Here is a 16,814-nt window from a genome sequence, read left to right on the forward strand (position 1 = left end):
CTGTCTTTAACAAAATACAAAAACCAGCCAAGCGTGGTGGCGGGCGCCTGTAATCCCAGCTACTCAGGAGCTGAGGCAGCAGAATCACCTGAACCCAGTAGGCGGAGGTTGCAGTGAGCTGAGATCGTGCTATTGCACTCCAGCCTAGACCATAGAGCAAGATGCAGGCTCAAAAAAAAAAAAAAAAAAAAAAAAAAAAAGAAATACTAGAGATTAAAAAAGGGGGAGCATTCATTTTAAAAATCAGAAACTAAAATGAGATGGCCTACCAAAATCTCTTTTTCGTAGTGTCTGGTATAGAAAGAAAACAGGGGTTGCTTTTCCGGGCGGAACTACATCAGGTTGCACATGAAAACAGAAATTAAAAACTGACAGTCCAAGGCGTCCTTCCTGACCTCCTTCAGCGTGTGTTCCATGTCTCGCGGGGAAACTCTGGCCCACAAATATGGAACCACAGGATGCTGACACGCAAAGCAAGCCGCCTGGAAAATGACTCAGACGCTCCCGCCGGCTGAGCGCAGCCCGCAGACACCGCAGTGCAGGCCCCGGGGTGCGGGACAATGGCAAGCCCGGCAGATGTCTGGGGACATTGAAAGGAACATAATTACCGCCATCAATTTTCCTTTTACACAGCCCTTCGAAAGCGGTTTTCCCAAAAAGAGCAGTAGAGCTTTTCAATAAAAATGCTTCTTTGCAATTTTCATGCAAGTCAGGGTAGGCAGGCCGGCCCTTAGGGTTGTCCTATTTTCTCAAGCAGTGAAAACAATATTAGACTTGTGTGTTCTAGTCCCAGCTGCACCCCCGATCCACTAAATGGTGGCTTTGGGTTTCCCACTTAACCCCTTAGTCTCCTCCTCACCAAAAGGGAAGAAAATCTTTTTTTTTTTTTTTTGAGAAGCTCAAATGAAATAATGTCACTGAGAAAGCTGCTAAAAGCAGAGTGCTATAAAAACACACAGTTCTTTATTATTAATGTCTTTTTGTTTTGGTGAGCTAATGGTGGTTTTTATGAGCTAATGGAGCTAATTTAACCCAGAATTACCCAGGAGCTGAGAGCAAAGTTTTCTAGATAGATTGTCTGTCTCTGGGGAGATCATAATTCTCTTGTAAAGTCAGCGCCTCTTGTGATACTGCCTCATTCTTATGCATGCATCCACTCATCTTCTTTGTCTTCCAAACCCTTTGATTTGATTCAGGTGAGCCTTACCCGGTCCGTGCTTCACCTCTTTCTTCTTTCTCCATAATTCAGTTCTACTTGTTGGATCCATTGATTTGCTCAGCAAAGACTGATTGAGCCTCCACCATCTGGTAGGCCACAAGTCAGACGCAGCTCTCAGCTGGAGTGGCTCAGCCTTGGAGAAAACAGCCGCATAAACGTGGGTGACAACACAATGAAATTGTGCCAACATAAGGCCGGGCACTGCAGTCTCTGGGAACTTAAAAGAGGGTGAGATTGATGACACAGCTCGGTTTCATTAGTATCTTTTTAGTTCTCTTCCCTGAATACTTCAAATATACATGTATCTTTGAGTTGACTGAAGATTTGATGAGTTTGTTGAAAACAAACTGAAAAACAGAGTTATAATTTAAAATAACTGGATCAGTGATAAGGAAAAACATATTCCAAGCATAATGTGGTCATCACCAATTTAAATAGTTGGTCACCCAAGGACACAATTTATCCTAGAGATTCACAGGCAATTTAACGGGTCATGACTCAAAGAAATAGGCAGAAATTACTATTAAACTAGTCTTAAAAAGCGGTCGGCAAATGGTGATCCTTAAACAGTTGACACCAAGGTCCTGTGTTTTAGAATTTATGCACTGAAATTTTCATTTTGGAAGATTAAGAGAGTCATATAAATTGGTTGTGGGTTAATTCACCTCCTATAGCTTTTAAAAGTCAGGCATTGTGTTTGATACACAATTATTTCACTAAGAATGCATCGTTGCAGAACGATAGTTCTCATCTGACTGAAACCAGTAGACTGTACCATCCCTGTTGACTGCCTGATGTTTTTGGAAGCAACACAATTCTAAAAGCAAAACCACCAATTGTTATGAAAAATTACATGGGCTCCTATACTTTGTGTAACAGGTGAAAACCCCAAACAGGGAAAGGAAGACTCATTTAGGCTTCACTCTGGAAGGACATTTCCCTCCTAGTCTGCCCTCTCAGGGAACTTGAATCGTGATGCTTCTTGCCATTAGGGCCACCTGGTTTGAATCCTTCACCATTCTCTGAAGACCTGGGTTCAAATCCCAGCTTAGCCCCTACCTAGCCCTGTGGGTCAATTGATTTTCCTAAGTGTTCATTTTCTCAACTAAACTAGAGGTTATGGAGGCTACTTTCAAGGTTGCTAAGGGAATTCATCGTGACACCATGTGCTTAGCCCAACGGCGCTTGGTAAATGCTCAATAAAAGATAGATATCCTCATTGATTAATGCTCCCCAAAGGAGTCCTTTTAACACAAAATTTTGCCAAGATAGCAGAAAGGATTGATGTGGCATGAAGGGTATACATTAAACATCTCCCTTAATTATGACAATATCCGTGACAAATAATACTCTTTTTTTTTTCTTTTTTTTGAGACAGGGTCTCCCTCTGTCACCCAGGCTGGAGTGCAGTATCGCAATCTTGGCTCACTGCAACCTCTACCTCCGGGACTCAAGCAATCCTACCACCTCAGCTTCCTGAGTAGCTAAGACTACAGGTGCACTACCATGCCTGGCTAATTTTTGTATTTTTTGTAGAGACAGGGTCTCACTATGGTGCCCAGGCTGGTCTCAAACACCTGAGCTCAAGTGATACACCTGCCTCAGCCTCCCAAAGTGCTGTGATTACAGGCGTGCACCACCGCGCCCGGCCAAATGAGAAATCCCCCTGCCCTGCTTCTTTTTCTAGCTCTCCCTCTTGGTTGTATTTAAGTCATGATATTCTTCTGTGACCCTGCCTTGCCTGCTCTCACGCCTTCAGTCAGTTGCTCTCTCTCTCTCACTCTCTTTTTTAGCTGCGTGAAGTTCACAATTTAAGTATAGCCCCTAAGTCTTCATCACATACATTCCTACAGCTTTGGATTCCTCAGTCCCTAAAGGCTGCTACATAGATCCATGCAGTATGGGAGCTAAGGAAACTCGTTCTTCTCTCATGAGGGTTTAGCAGGAGGTGAGCTTTCAAAGCAGCTCTCCACTCTCCCTGCTCCCGTAACTCTGGGGTGGAACAGAAATACTGAGATGGACTGCCCGTTCTGTGTGTTTGTTCGTTTGTTTTTATGTTTGTTTTAGTGGGAAGATAATTTCCAAGTAAGATGATGGGTTTCTTAACTATGCAGAAGTCCCAGTTACTTCCTGTGTCTTTTGACCAAGCACTCCCCACTCTTTCCCATGGCAACAGCAGCCTGAGGTTTTTCTTTCAAAAGAAGAGTTAACGTGTATTTTAAAATTGTGTTGTGCTGCTGACCAGACAAGGATTAAAAAAACAAATAGATCTCAGTATTAAGTGGAATTTGGGCTAAATCCATAAGTCCCCATGCCTTGGTGATTGCTGTTTACACATTGACTTACTGTTTGCACAGTTCTCTGCTCTGCACTTCTAGACTCCAATCCATGCTGTACAGTGTGCATTTCTAAGACATGGGATTCTGTCTCTACAGGCTTTCCGAAATATCTCTTCTTTTTAAATACAAAACTAAAATCTAGATATAGTCACCATATGTGAAGGTTACCTGTGTCTGCAGACATAGATTTATTAACCTATTATCAATATTAATGCAAACTATCCTGCAAAACCTCAGGTCTAGAATAGTCTCCCTATGTTAAAGGGGAGATGATAACCAATGCAAAAAGCTTGTGTTTATAACCGGCAATTTCAGTGAAGGTTCTAAAGCCAGCTGCTACTGAAGAGACTCAGCTCAAAACAAAAGACAGACCAAGGGCTCGGATTTGCCCCATAATCAGAATGCCAGCCGCACTGTGCCGCTGTTGACACTGGCCTGGGAGGTGCCCGCTCGAATGGTCCCTCCAGCTCACTGGTTTTGCATACGATCACCAGGCTGCAGCCTCCATGAGTCTCCAAGGTAATCCTAGACAGCAAGAATCTTCCTCCTTATTAACAGCCCTGGCTGTAATTTACAGCTCTGTTTTCTATGCTGCCATTTCTAGCACTGCTATAAATTCCGCCACTAATCTTAGGCTCAGAAAAGTCTTTTTACAACTTGCCACCACTGCACAAATGTCAGTGGAGCCTGCTTTTAATAAACAGAGTGACTGGCAGAGGACCAAAGAAGATAAATGGTCAACAGGGCAAAAGTCATCTTGGATGTGTCTCCCTCCTCTATCTGAATTGCTCTTCCTAATTCCTACTACACTAACCAGAATTTTTAGGTTGCATTAACTCACTCTATCCATAAAGAAAATATTAAATACATTCATCTATACAAAAATGTGAGATGTAGGCTGGGTGTGGTGGCTCATGCCTGTAATCCCAGCACTTTGGGGGGCGAAGGCCGGGGATAGTTTGTGCCCAGGAGTTTGACACCAGCTTGGGGAACATAGACCTCTCATCTCTACAAAAAATAAAAAAAATTAGCCAGGTGTGGTGGTACGTGCCTGTAGTCCCAGCTACTTGGCAGGCTGAGATGGGAGGATCACCAGAGCCTAGGAAGTCGAGGCTGCAGGGAGCCAAGATCTCGCCACTGCACTCTAGTCTGGGCAACAGATTGAGACCCTATCTCAAAACAAAACAAAAAAAAAAGTGAGACGTAGTTCAGTAACCTCTCCAGGGGTATATGCATTTTCAAATCCAGAGTTTAGGGGTTAATTAAAATTAGTAATTTTCAACATATGTTTGCTCTCTTAATAAAAGAAAAAGATTTCTATGAATAAAAGTTGGGGACGATGGGTTTAAAATATCTTTATGTTAGGACTTCTCAGAATCATGAACATGCTAATATGAATCATATTTCTCCAAGGGACACCTAGAGTGTGTAGAATTTTCCAAATATCTTTGACCACGAACCCCATTTTTGAAAGAATATTTTGGGAAACAAGTTTCTTGGGCAATACTGATCTAAGAGATACATTCCTAAAAGTAAAACTACAGTGATGGGGAGACCCTAAAGGTATAAACGCCTTCCTGGTCATCCATTTTGTGTGGAAAAGAAATGTACCCCAAGTTGAGAGTATACATTGACTCATGGGCAGTGGCAAATGGCTGAACTGAATAGTTAGTGGCCTGGAAGGTACAAGGTTGAGAGACTGAAGATTCATGTAGAAAGACTGGAAGACTGGAGACAGGAAGTCAGGGAGAGAGGTGTGTGGATGGGCCTGTGGAAGTGGACATAAAGAGTGAAGACCTTTATATCACAAGTTAATGCCCACCAGAGAGCACCTGCCGCAGGGGAGGGACTAAAGCAACAAGCAGAGAGAAGGACTCAGGCAGTAAACGTCAGTCTCTGTCATTATCCACCCAGTGCTGGCCCCAGGGGTTTGTGGAAGGAATAGCTACCGTGACAGCAATGGAGACTATGCATGGCTCGACAGCAAGGAACTTCAATTCACTAAGGCCAATCTAGCTGCTGCTATTTCCAGATGTCATGTCTGCCAGCCACAGAAACCGATGCTGAGCCCGGATGTGGTACAATTTCAGTCCAACCAGCCACCTGGGGGCAAGGTGATTACATAAAACCCTGACACTCTGGACAGCACAGGGGATTCGTCTTGACTGAAATCGACGTATATTCTAGGTATGAGTTTGCCTTTGTTTGCAAGGCCTCGGTCAACTATCTGAAGACTTGGACATGTGTGAGCCGTCTGTACAAGATGCTGCATAGCAACGAGCTGCATCTAGGGACGCAGATGGGATTAATCACCGCATCACTCTAATCCTCACCCAGCCTTCCCCTCTGTGTTCCCTTCTCCGTATAAGGACACCTGTCCTTGGATTTAGGACCCATCAAGATGACCTCATCTTGAGCTCTTTAACTTAATTACACTTGCAAAGAGGCTTTTTCTAAATAAGGTTTCATTCACAGGTACTGGGGGTAGGACATAGATACATCTTTTTGCTCACTCCCATTCAACCCATAACACGTAGAAAGCTCACTGTGCACTTTGTGCTTACTGGGAAGCCCTGCAGAAGAGTCAGACTTAAAAAAAAAAAACTGCTGAGCACATTAACAACCCACCTGCAACCACTTTCTTCTCTCATCCCCTCCTCCCTTCCTCTTTTTTGCCCCCTTTTTCATTCTTCTATGCAGTCCAGCTTTCTCTATCTCCCCAGGAAGAAAGCCGATACCCTTCTCTGAAGCCCACCTACCCACAGTTCGAGCTTCTTGCAGAGACTGATTCATGCCTCTGAATCCCAGTTTAAAGTTTCTTGGGGGAGAGAAACTGCTTGCCCGGCTTGGATCAGGGTCCACCCCCAATCCATTGAGTTGTGACCCAGAGTCAGGACAGATGGTGTCGGTGTTCTCACCAGGTGTGGGGCGTAATTGCTAGTTACCTACCCTCAATGCCTGCTCTCCCTTCTTCCTTGGGATAAGGCTCTGGTTCTCCACTGGGCACATAAAGACTCCTTCCAAGGCTCCCTTGAAGTCAGATGTGGCCTCACAACTAAATTACGGCTAGCAAGATGAGAACAGAGGTGTTACATGGCAGCTTCCAAAAATATTCTTAAAAGACAGCAGGAACATGCCTTTTGCTTCCCCTTACCCCTTGTCCCACCATGCAGCATAAAATATAGATGTGTTGAAAGTCTAGCCACCACTTTCTATTTTTTTCTAATTAGAGATGGGGTCTTGCTCTATCACCCAGGCTGGAGCGCAATGGTGTGATCATAGCTTACTGCAGCCTCCACCTTCTGGGCTCAAGGGATCCTTCCCCATCAGCTTCCCAAGTACCCGGGACTACAGGCAAGTGCCACCCTGCTCAGCTAAGTTTTTAGTAGAGACAGGATCTTGCCATATTGTCCAGGCTGATCTTGAACTCCTGGGCTCAAGCGATCCTCCCATGTCAGCATCCCAAAGTGCTGGGATTACAGGCATGAGTCACCACGCCCAGCCTAACCTTCATTTTCAACCAGAAGATGAAGCCTCCATCCCAGAGGTAGCAGAGCAAAGTGTTGAAATGTGTCTGCACCCCTTAAAACCTCAGGGAGCCTCCGTGCCAGGGCTGGACTTCCTACCTCTGAACTTCCTTTACATGAGAGAGTAATAAATTTCTCTCTTCTTTCAGACATCTTCTATTTGGGTTTCTGTGTTATAGGTAGCCAAATTTAATCTTAGCTAATATAAAGGCCAACTTTTTGGGGGGACAATTCACAAAAAAAAAAAGACCAGGAGAGCACTGTGCACTACGTCGCCTTTCCAGAATGGTCTTTCACCAGGCACGAGGGCAGATCTCTACGTCCCCAGAAATCTGATGTGTCCTGCATTGTCCACCACCAGCCTCTCTGGGTCATCAGACTGGGGAGGCTGTCTAGGTCCAAGACCACCCATGCTGGTCTCTACAAGGCCAGGTGTTATCCCAGGAAAGGGGTGCCTCATTTCTCCACCAAAGGACAAATGGTGTCAGTGTTCTCACCAGGTGTAGGGTATAACGGCTGGTTACCCACCCCCAATGCCTGCTCTCCCTTCTTCCTTGGGATAAGGCCCTGGTTCTCCACTGTGCACATAAAGACTATCTTTCCACGGCTCCCTTGAAATCAGATGTGGCCTTATGACTAAATTCTGGCCTGCAAGATGAGAAAAGAAGTGTTACATGGCATTGTTACATGGCAGCTGGTATGTTTCTTGGAGCTTCTATGAAGCACTCGGCGTGGGGCAGCTGGAATCAAAAAGCCCTGCTGTCCTGGGGAATCAGCAGCCAGGTGGGTGGGTGGCATTATATGGGCTGCTGAAGATAACAGCAGAGCAAGGAGGATGGAGCTGGGACCATTATAGGCCAGAGAGAAACCAGGTATGAATGTCAGGCCATTTTCAGAGCATGGAACAGACCCAATGGGTTGGAATATGCCTTTCATTCTTCCTTTTTATTGAAACACACGGCCAATAAGTGTGTGTCAATAAGTGTTATTGAAGGTTCATTTTTGACAATACATGGACCTTCACAATCCTCACTAGCAGCAGCACTGGGACATTGGCCACCAATTCCAAAGGCTCAACCCATGCCTGGTACAGGGACAGCTTTCCTGCCAAGGCTGCCCAATAAGCCAGGACTATCCCCTTCTGCAGGGACCAGCAACAGGACAGAATGATGCAGCAGCCCAAGTATTCCAAGTGTTGTAGGATCATGGACCCCAATGAGCAAGTGCCGGTGCTGGGATAGAGTGGGAGATGAAGACTACAAAGGGCATCACCTCTGTGTCAAGCGTAGGCTGTCATGCACTCAGGACCAAAGACCATGCCCCCAGGTTGTGGCCACCTGGAATTCCTCCAGATCTACTCACCCATGACCCCCGGGAGCCCTTCCCCAGCCTCTCTACTTTAAAATTCTGCCTCCCACACCAGCACCTCCCATCCACCTCCCTTACTTTATTTTTGTTGCTGCCTCCACTCCTGTCTGACATCCTGTATGCTGCCTGCTTTGGAGATTAGCCCGGCTGTGGTGGAGGAGCTTGGCTGGATCACCCCAATGCACTTATTGTTTCATTTATTACCTGTCTCCCCATCAAGCTCCATTAGGACAAATGCCTTCCTCTCTCCCATTCTCTGCTGTATCTGCAAGGCTTAAAACAGCGCCTGGCGCGGTAGGTGTCCAATAAATACTTGTTAAATGAGAGAATGAATGTTCCGGACCTGCCGGTCAGTATAGTTATCTGCTGGGCCCAGGTCCAGATAGGAAAGTGACCTGAATCCTTGGATGTGAATGTTGCACAGACATCAAACAAGGGCCTGGCTTCCCATGGTTCCACCAGAAAAATCTGGGGACAAATCCAATGGTGGGAATGGGCAGAGCTGGCCCTCACAGGTACCTACTATGAGAAGGCTGATATGTTTCTTGGAGCTTCAGTAAAGCACTCAGTATGGCATGGCTGGAATCAAAGAGCCCTGCCGTCCTGGGGAACCAGCAGCCGGGTGGGTGGATGGGATTAGAGGGGCTGCTGAAGATAACAGCAGAGCAGGGAGGATGGGTCTGGGATGATTAATGACCACAGGGAAAGCAGGTATGAGGCACACACCCCCTCCTGCTCCCTTCTCCTCAAACTGTTAAACTGACTCAGCCGCCAGGCCAGGATGCCTGTCGTAAGGTTTGACTCGGTTCTTTTGGAGGGGCCAAGCTAGATCATGAAAAAATTGCTTGTGTAGGGCAGAATCATCCTGGACTAGTCCAGCCACCCAAACTCCAAGGTTCAAAACTTGAGACCAGTGACTGAGATCCACTCTGAGGAGGCAGCCCAGGGCATCCTCTGAGCTCCCTGCTGGGCCCAGAGGAGTGAAGGCTGTAGCACACCAGAGCCAGCTTCACCAGCAGGCAGCCTGTGCCAGCTCTCAAGGACCCATGCTCATAGGGCCTGTGCTTGGTTTAATTCTCCACTGTTGTCATTTTAAAATTTTTAATAATTTTTTAATAAAAGACTCTGCATCTTCATTGTGCACTAGGACATGCCAATTATGTAGCCAGTCCTGCAAACATGTACCTGGGTCTCCCAGGATTTCTGCCATATCTCTTGTACATAGCACACGTGAGGCTGACACCCCATTTCATTACTTTCAATCACTGGTGGTACAAAGATGCCTGCTGCTTGGAATTATCTAGTACCAGGAGACCCATGTGGCCAGAAAACCAAACAGGTCATACAAGTCAGACAGACGACTATCATGTAAGATAGTCACCTACTCTGTGCCAGGCACTGCAGTGAACCCACCCTTGGATCTTCCTATCACCCTTGAAAGGCTGATATTATTGTCCTCCTTTGGTAGATGAGCAGGCCTGGAGCCTCACCACCTAATGGTGCCTGGAATACATTAGGAGATCATTAAGTACTTGTTGAATATTCAAACATTATTTGCAAGGTGTACTTACTTTTTGCATTGATTGCAGATTTTGAGACAAGATATAGGTGAACTACACAATACTGGGCATGGAATGCTTGAACATCAACCATTCATTCAACAAACATTTATTGGGCCCCTTCATATGCCTAGACTATGCTAGGTGCTGGGGCACCCTAACAGACCCAGTGCTGCAGCTCATGGGCAGCACTGGCTGGCATTCCATAGGATGCATGATGGTCCATGTCGAAGAAGGATTCGTTTTCAGTTGGGACCTCCAACAGAGAAACTCTTCCTCTTCCCAAAGGGAGTGAACAGGTCAAACAACCCCCTTCACCACCACAGACCAGGAATGTGCATTGATTGTGCAGGAAACACAGATACCCTAACAAAGACTACTCAGATGATAAGAGGAGTTACTTTGGTGAAAACAAGTCAAGCAGGCAGCCCGCATTTTTACAGGGCAGACCGGAGGGAGCCAAAGCCTCTACACAATCTATTGATTTCCACTGAAAGTGAACTTTCAGCTATTGCATTAGCCAAGGCTAAGAATTACTCCCAAATAGCTATTTTTAAAACTTTTTTAAAGTGCTATATTTTTAGCAAAATATCTATGGGATAAGAACCATGGGAGGCACAGGGAGACAATCAATAGAAATTGGGAGAAATGAAAACCAGATGGTTCAGCGCTCAGATGATTCCCTTTGCCACATGGGACAAGAGCTATCACCACCTCCCTGTGCAGAAGAAATGGCACCCAGTGAACAGTAGTAGTCTTCCTGGTTGTTGCACATGATTGTACTCACATGACCAGAGTGTGGTTCTTAACCCAGGACAGTGTATTATCAACACAATCCTTTTTCACTTTCATGCCACCTCCATTAAGAATGCTCAGCAAATATTGACATATTTGGTTCCCTGGATGCACAAGATTTTAAGTGACAATCATTCAAGACTAGCCCCCAGAGACCAGCAAATTAATTCCCTTAAAGAATTATTTCCTAGGCCAGGCACTGTGGCTCACATCTATAATCCCAGCATTTTGGGAGGCCAAGGCAGGCAGATCACTTGAGGCCAGGAGTTCAAGACCAGCCTGGCCAACACAGTGAAACCTTGTCTGTACTAAAAATACAACAAAATTAGCTGGGTGTGGTGGTGCATGCCTGTAATCCCAGCTACTCGGGAGGCTGAGACATGAGAATTGCTTGAACTCAGGAGGCAGATGTTGCAGTGAGCAGAGATCATGCCACTACACTCCAGCCTGGGTGATAGAGTAAGACTCTGAAAAATAAAATAAAGAAGAGAGAAAGAGAGAGAAAGAAAAAGAAAGAAAGAGAGAAAAAGAAAGAAAGAAAGAGAAAGGAAGAAAGAAAGAGAAAGGAAGAAAGAAAGAGAAAGAAAGAAAGAAAAGAAAGAAAATTCTGTCCTTATAAGGACACATTTCAGACTCAGTTTCATTGTTTATTTGCTGTTGTACAACTGTATTCCTTTCCTACAGATCATTTGTCTCATCTCTACCTATTTAGTAATTAGGATATGTATCCATTATCTATTGCTGTGAAACAAATGACTCTAAATTTAGCAGCTTAAAACAACAATAAACATCTATTACAGTGTCTGTGGGTCAGGAAGTTGTGAGTGGCTTGGCTGGTGGTTCTGGCTTAGGATCACTCACACAGTTGCAGTCAAGCTCTCAGCCAGGGCTACCGTCATCTGAAGGCTTGATTGTGGCTGAAGAATCCATTTCCAGGATGATTCACTCACAAGACTGGCAAGTTGATGCTGGCTGTTGGCAGGAGACCTCAGTTCCTCAGAATTCATCTCTGCGAGTACACGCTACTTATTATAAAGTGACACCTTCATGGGGAATGAACAAACTTAAATTGTACAAAAGACTAGAAATATAATTTTGATAAAATTGGTTGAAATAAACATTTTGCAAATCATAGAATGTGTTATTCAATATAAAAGCTGGTCAAAAATTCAGTCAGAGCCACAAAGAGAGAGTTGTGATTGTAAGTGATGTTATAGGACAGTTAATTCAGACAGAGCACACCGCAAAATGAAAAATATGAAAATGCTGTTTGCAAAACAGAATCCAGTCCTTTGTGGTGAATCAGTTTCATTCATTTGATATGAATTCTGCACCTACCTAATTCCTACTGCTGTTCTAGGCATTGGATAGACAACAAGGGATAAAAGGGCAAAGACCCTCTTCTCACATCACTGGTGATGGCATATTCTGCCTGAGTGAGGTTCTAAAGAAATTATACATGTATTCAAGAAGCCCTTTCCATGTGAAGTCCTTGTGCCACGTGGCAAATATTGTCTTATTGTCAGCAAGTTATAACAATCCATAGGAAGATTCTCAGACACAGAAAATAAGCCAATGACTTCCAGGTCAGTGCATTCCAGCTCATGTGCTTCACTGCTTGGCTATGCTGCTGACTTTAAGGATACACTTCCAGCTCTGGAGCATCTAAGGACTCTACCACTTCTTACATGGGTTCCCCTAGACATAGAATCAGAAATGTTTAAGAGCAAGTACTGTATTTAGAAGGTGATACCAGGAAACAGAGGTGCAGGAGGGAGAAGTGAAACAGGGATGAGCAAGAAGCCAATAAAGGGTTTGTTACCAAATAAGTTTCCACTGTGGCCACTGTGTCTTGATGTTCTGGGGAACTCTGAGAGCCAGCTGGGATCATGCCAAGGGGTTGTCCCATGAAGGGGTGAAGGCTCAGAACATTTATCAACTAGCTTCTCTCATTCAGGGCTGCTGGGGTGGAGTGAAGGTTTCCCTGGCATTTCCAGCCTATCCGGCATGTGGGCAGAGTGGACAGAGAGGTGTAGATGGTGGCATTTGAAAGTCCACAGACTACACAGAAATGTAGGAGCCAGAAGAATGTAGGAGCTAGAAGGATGAGGCAGGGAGGGCGATGGACAACCATCTGCTTTAACACCTGTGTGAATTCATCTCAGTTGCAACCACTCATTCATTTCCCAACACATTCACTGAGAACCTAGTAGGTGGCAGGCCTGTTCTGGACACGGTTTCTTGTCTAGAGCTGACAAACAAGACTTCAGTATTCAATGTCCAGACTCTCTTTCTTCAGAGGCCCGGGCTGTGCTAAATTTTCAACCTGCATAGTTTAAATCAAGGGGGGTGCACCTCCATCCTAGCCTGGCCTCACAGCCCTGGCTGTTTGGTCTATAATCTTCATTCTCCATCCCCTGGGACTTCTCTAGCCTTCTCCCCTCCTGAGGCTAAGTAACTCAAGGATTCTCCATTTAAGGTTGAAGGGACACAGCAGTTGTGAGAGCGAAAATGAATAACAGAGCTTCATTTCATTGCTGTAAATGGAAATCAGTGTTGTAAGTATCATCTCCCAAACACTTTTGGGAGTACCTCAGATCTTCACCTCATCATCTGGGTCCTTCAAGCACCCCTCTACCACCCAACCACAATAATTCCTTTAAAACAGGAATCTAGTCCAGACACCACCCTGCTCAGAGGTTCCCCTCTACTCTGTGGGACACCCTACATTGCTCGTGTTCCTGCAAATGGTGTCCCTAATTTAGTTAAGCCTAGTCAGAAAAGTAAAGGTAGAAGAATAAACAGGCACATCCAGGAATTAAGAGAACAGTGGAATTGACATGAAATAGATTTTGTTGCCAAGAATGAGAATGACAAAGCCTATTGAAGAGGGCTGTCAACACAGTGAGTGGTGTGGGAAGCAAAGGGCCAGCTAGAGGAGAAAGCCACACTAATGACCACAGAAGCTGTCTGCCCATGGGCCATCAGTGTTTCTGATTATGGCATCTGATGGATGGAGGCAGAAACATTCTTCTTCCTGACCACACCACTGAATATGCACAATCACTTTCCAAGAAGGTTGAGCCAAGAGCCCAGGCAGCCCACTGTGGGCCATACAGGAGAGTCCCCATCCCCCATCTACACCAACGATTAGTTCTCACTTATTTTCTCTCTGCCAATATAAGTGAAAAGGGCCTCATTTCTCAAGTGTTTTATTTATTTGATTAACAGTAACCCTGGACATTTTTTTCATAAGTTTATTGTCCATTTGGATTTATTTTGTGAATTTTTTCTTACCAGTTTTTAGTTAGCCTCTTTTTTTTATGGATTTTCTGGTCAGACATGTTTCAAATATTTTCTCCAGTTTTTATGCATCTTATGTATTTTTAGCATCTTTTACCATTCCTAAGTTTTGTGTTGTTATTGTATTATTTTAGTTTTGTTTTGCTATAATTTAAATGTCTCTCCAAAACTCATATGGAAATTTAATTGCCTTTTTTTTTTATAACAATATGAAGAGGTGGGACCTTTAAGAGGTAATTAGATTATGAGTCTACACATCCGGTCACCCACAGCCTGCCACACTCTTTCTTGACTGGCTGTGGTGTTCTGTGCTGGGGGAAGATGAGAGGGAGGACAAGGACTTTCCCAGGACTCCAGAGATCACCATTAGTGCCCTGCACTCTGGAGAACACAGAGTGTTGGCTGTGTGTTGGTGGACACCCTTCAAGCCTGGGCACCTGAGCAATGTCGGCTCACTCTCGTGAGCTTTGAGCAGAGACACTGTGCTTTGGAGCATGTCACCCGCAGAATCCAGTAATCTGGCCACTGCCAGAGGTTCACTTAATTTATTGTAGAAGTGGGTTAGTTATTGTGGAAGTTGCCTTCTGATAAAAAGGTTGAAGTTCAGCTCCTGTGTTCTCTCTGTCCCTCATGCTTCCTTGCCCTTCCACATTCTGCCATGGGATGACAGATTAAGAAGGCCCTCACCAGAAGCAAAGCAAAAGCCAGCACCAAGGTCTTGGACTTCCCAGCCTCCAGAACCATAAGATAAATAAATTACTTTTCTTTATAAATTACCTAGTCTGTGATATTTTATTATAGCAGCAGAAAATGAACTAAAACAAGTTTTTTTAAGTTGTGTGCAGTTATATATGAATAATTTTAGCCTTGATGTTATGCTAGAAACGGTTCTTCTCAATGGTTTTTTGTTTTGTTTTGTTTTGCTTGCTTCCAATTTGTTTTTTGTTTTTTGGTTTTTTTTTGAGACAGAGTCTCACTCTGTCACCCAGGCTGGAGTGCACTGATGCAATCTTGGCTCACTGTAACCTCTGCCTCCTGGCTTCAAATGATTCTTCTGTCTCAGCCTCCAGAGTTGCTGGGATTATAGGTGCACAATGCTGTAAATGGCAATCAGTGTTGTAAGTATCATCTCCCAAACACTTTTGGGAGTACCTCAGATCTTCACCTCATCATCTGGGTCCTCCAAGCACCCCTCTACCCACCCAACCACAATAATTCCTTTAAAACAGGAATCTAGTCCAGATACCACCCTGCTCAGAGGTTCCCCTCTACTCTATGGGACACCCTACATTGTTTATGTTCCTGCAAATGGTGTCCCTAACTCAGTTAAGCCTAGTCAGAAAAGTCTAATTTTTGATATTTTTAGTAGAGATGGGGTTTCACCATGTTGGCCAGGCTGGTCTCAAACTCCTGACCTTAAGTGATCTGCCTGCCTTGGCCTCCCAAAGTGCTGGGATTACAGGCGTGTTAAGAGATTGGTTGGGAATGAGGAGGCTATTTGTTGCTAATTTAGCCTTTAAATTCAAACATTAATTATTGCTCTTAAAACAAGAAAGAAATTCAGAAGATCACCTGGGCCAAACTCCCTGCAGGTAAATATCATTGTTGCCCCTTAGCAGAGAAGGCTCAGAGAAATTAAGTCACCAGAACAAACTCTGTATCTAATGACAGCAAGAAACCCTTAGGATGCAGCATCCTCTGGCAGCATGGAAAGGAGATGCCTTCATGGGTCAGGAGACCAAAGAAGACTTCTCAGGGCCTGGGAAACGAGTCTTGAAGGAAGATTCAGAGTCCACCAGGCTGACATAGGGAAGAGGATTTGCTGTCAGATGAGCAGCATCTGCAAAGACCTAAGGCTTAATACAGCATACACAGCACAGCATGCCAGTGTAACTGCAATATAGTGCAGCACAGTGGTCTCATGGAGTCACCTGTGGGCCTGAGAAAACTCAAGTTGCTGGGCTCCACCCAAGAGGTTCTCATTCAGGAGATCTGGGGTGGGGCCTCACGAAGTTGCATTTCGTTTTGTTTTGTTATTGTTGTTTTGTTCATTTCCTTTTTTTTGAGAAAGGGTCTCTCTCTGTCACCCAAGCTAGAATGCAGTGGCACAAACGCAGCTCATTGCAGCCTCTACCTCCTGGGCTCAGGTGATCCTCCTCCCTCAGCCTCCTGAATAACTGGGATGACAGGCATGTGCCACCACATCCAGCTGGTCTTTTAATTTTTGTAGAGAGGGAGTCTCACCATGTTCCCCAGGCTGGTTTTGATTTCTTGGGCTCAAGTGATCCTCTCATCTCAGCCTCCCAAAGTGGTAGCATTACAGGTGTGAGCCACTATGCCAGGCCAAGAAGCTACATTTCTAACAAGTGGCTGCATGGTGCTGCTGCTGCTGATCTGGGAATCACAGGTACAGTGGTCAAGAGCATGGGGTCTGGACCTTACAAAAAGAACCTGGGATCAAGTTCTAATAGTCTTTTACAAGCCATGAGAGCTTGAGAAATTTACTTAATGTAATTCTTAATTCTCTAAATGTCAATTTTCTCATCTGTAAAGTACAGGTAATGATACTAACTACCTTGTATAGTTTATGTGAGCATTAAGTGAGATAATTCATGAAAAGCATTCAGCATGGAGCTGAGCACACAGGGACATTCAAGAAAGTGTGTTATTTTCATTGTTATGATCATAATTCCTGAGTGTTGCT

The 16,814-nt window shown here is 44.7% G+C and overlaps 1 long non-coding RNA gene across 1 annotated transcript in view; it reads right to left on the minus strand.

Annotated features, from left to right (window-relative positions):
• Window positions 1–941: 941 nt before the first annotated feature.
• The window catches only part of LOC101927896 (uncharacterized), a 95,712-nt gene continuing 79,839 nt past the window's right edge, over window positions 942–16,814 (minus strand). Inside the window, exons 7-9 of the long non-coding RNA XR_002959457.2 lie at window positions 11,669–11,850; window positions 6,508–6,624; window positions 942–1,566 (exon numbers count right to left, since the gene is read on the minus strand). This is a non-coding gene — a long non-coding RNA (uncharacterized LOC101927896). The remainder of the gene's footprint in view (window positions 1,567–6,507; window positions 6,625–11,668; window positions 11,851–16,814) is intronic.

The sequence above is a fragment of the Homo sapiens genome, chromosome 2, assembly GCF_000001405.40.
Source record: "Homo sapiens chromosome 2, GRCh38.p14 Primary Assembly".
NCBI classification, from domain to species: domain Eukaryota; kingdom Metazoa; phylum Chordata; class Mammalia; order Primates; family Hominidae; genus Homo; species Homo sapiens.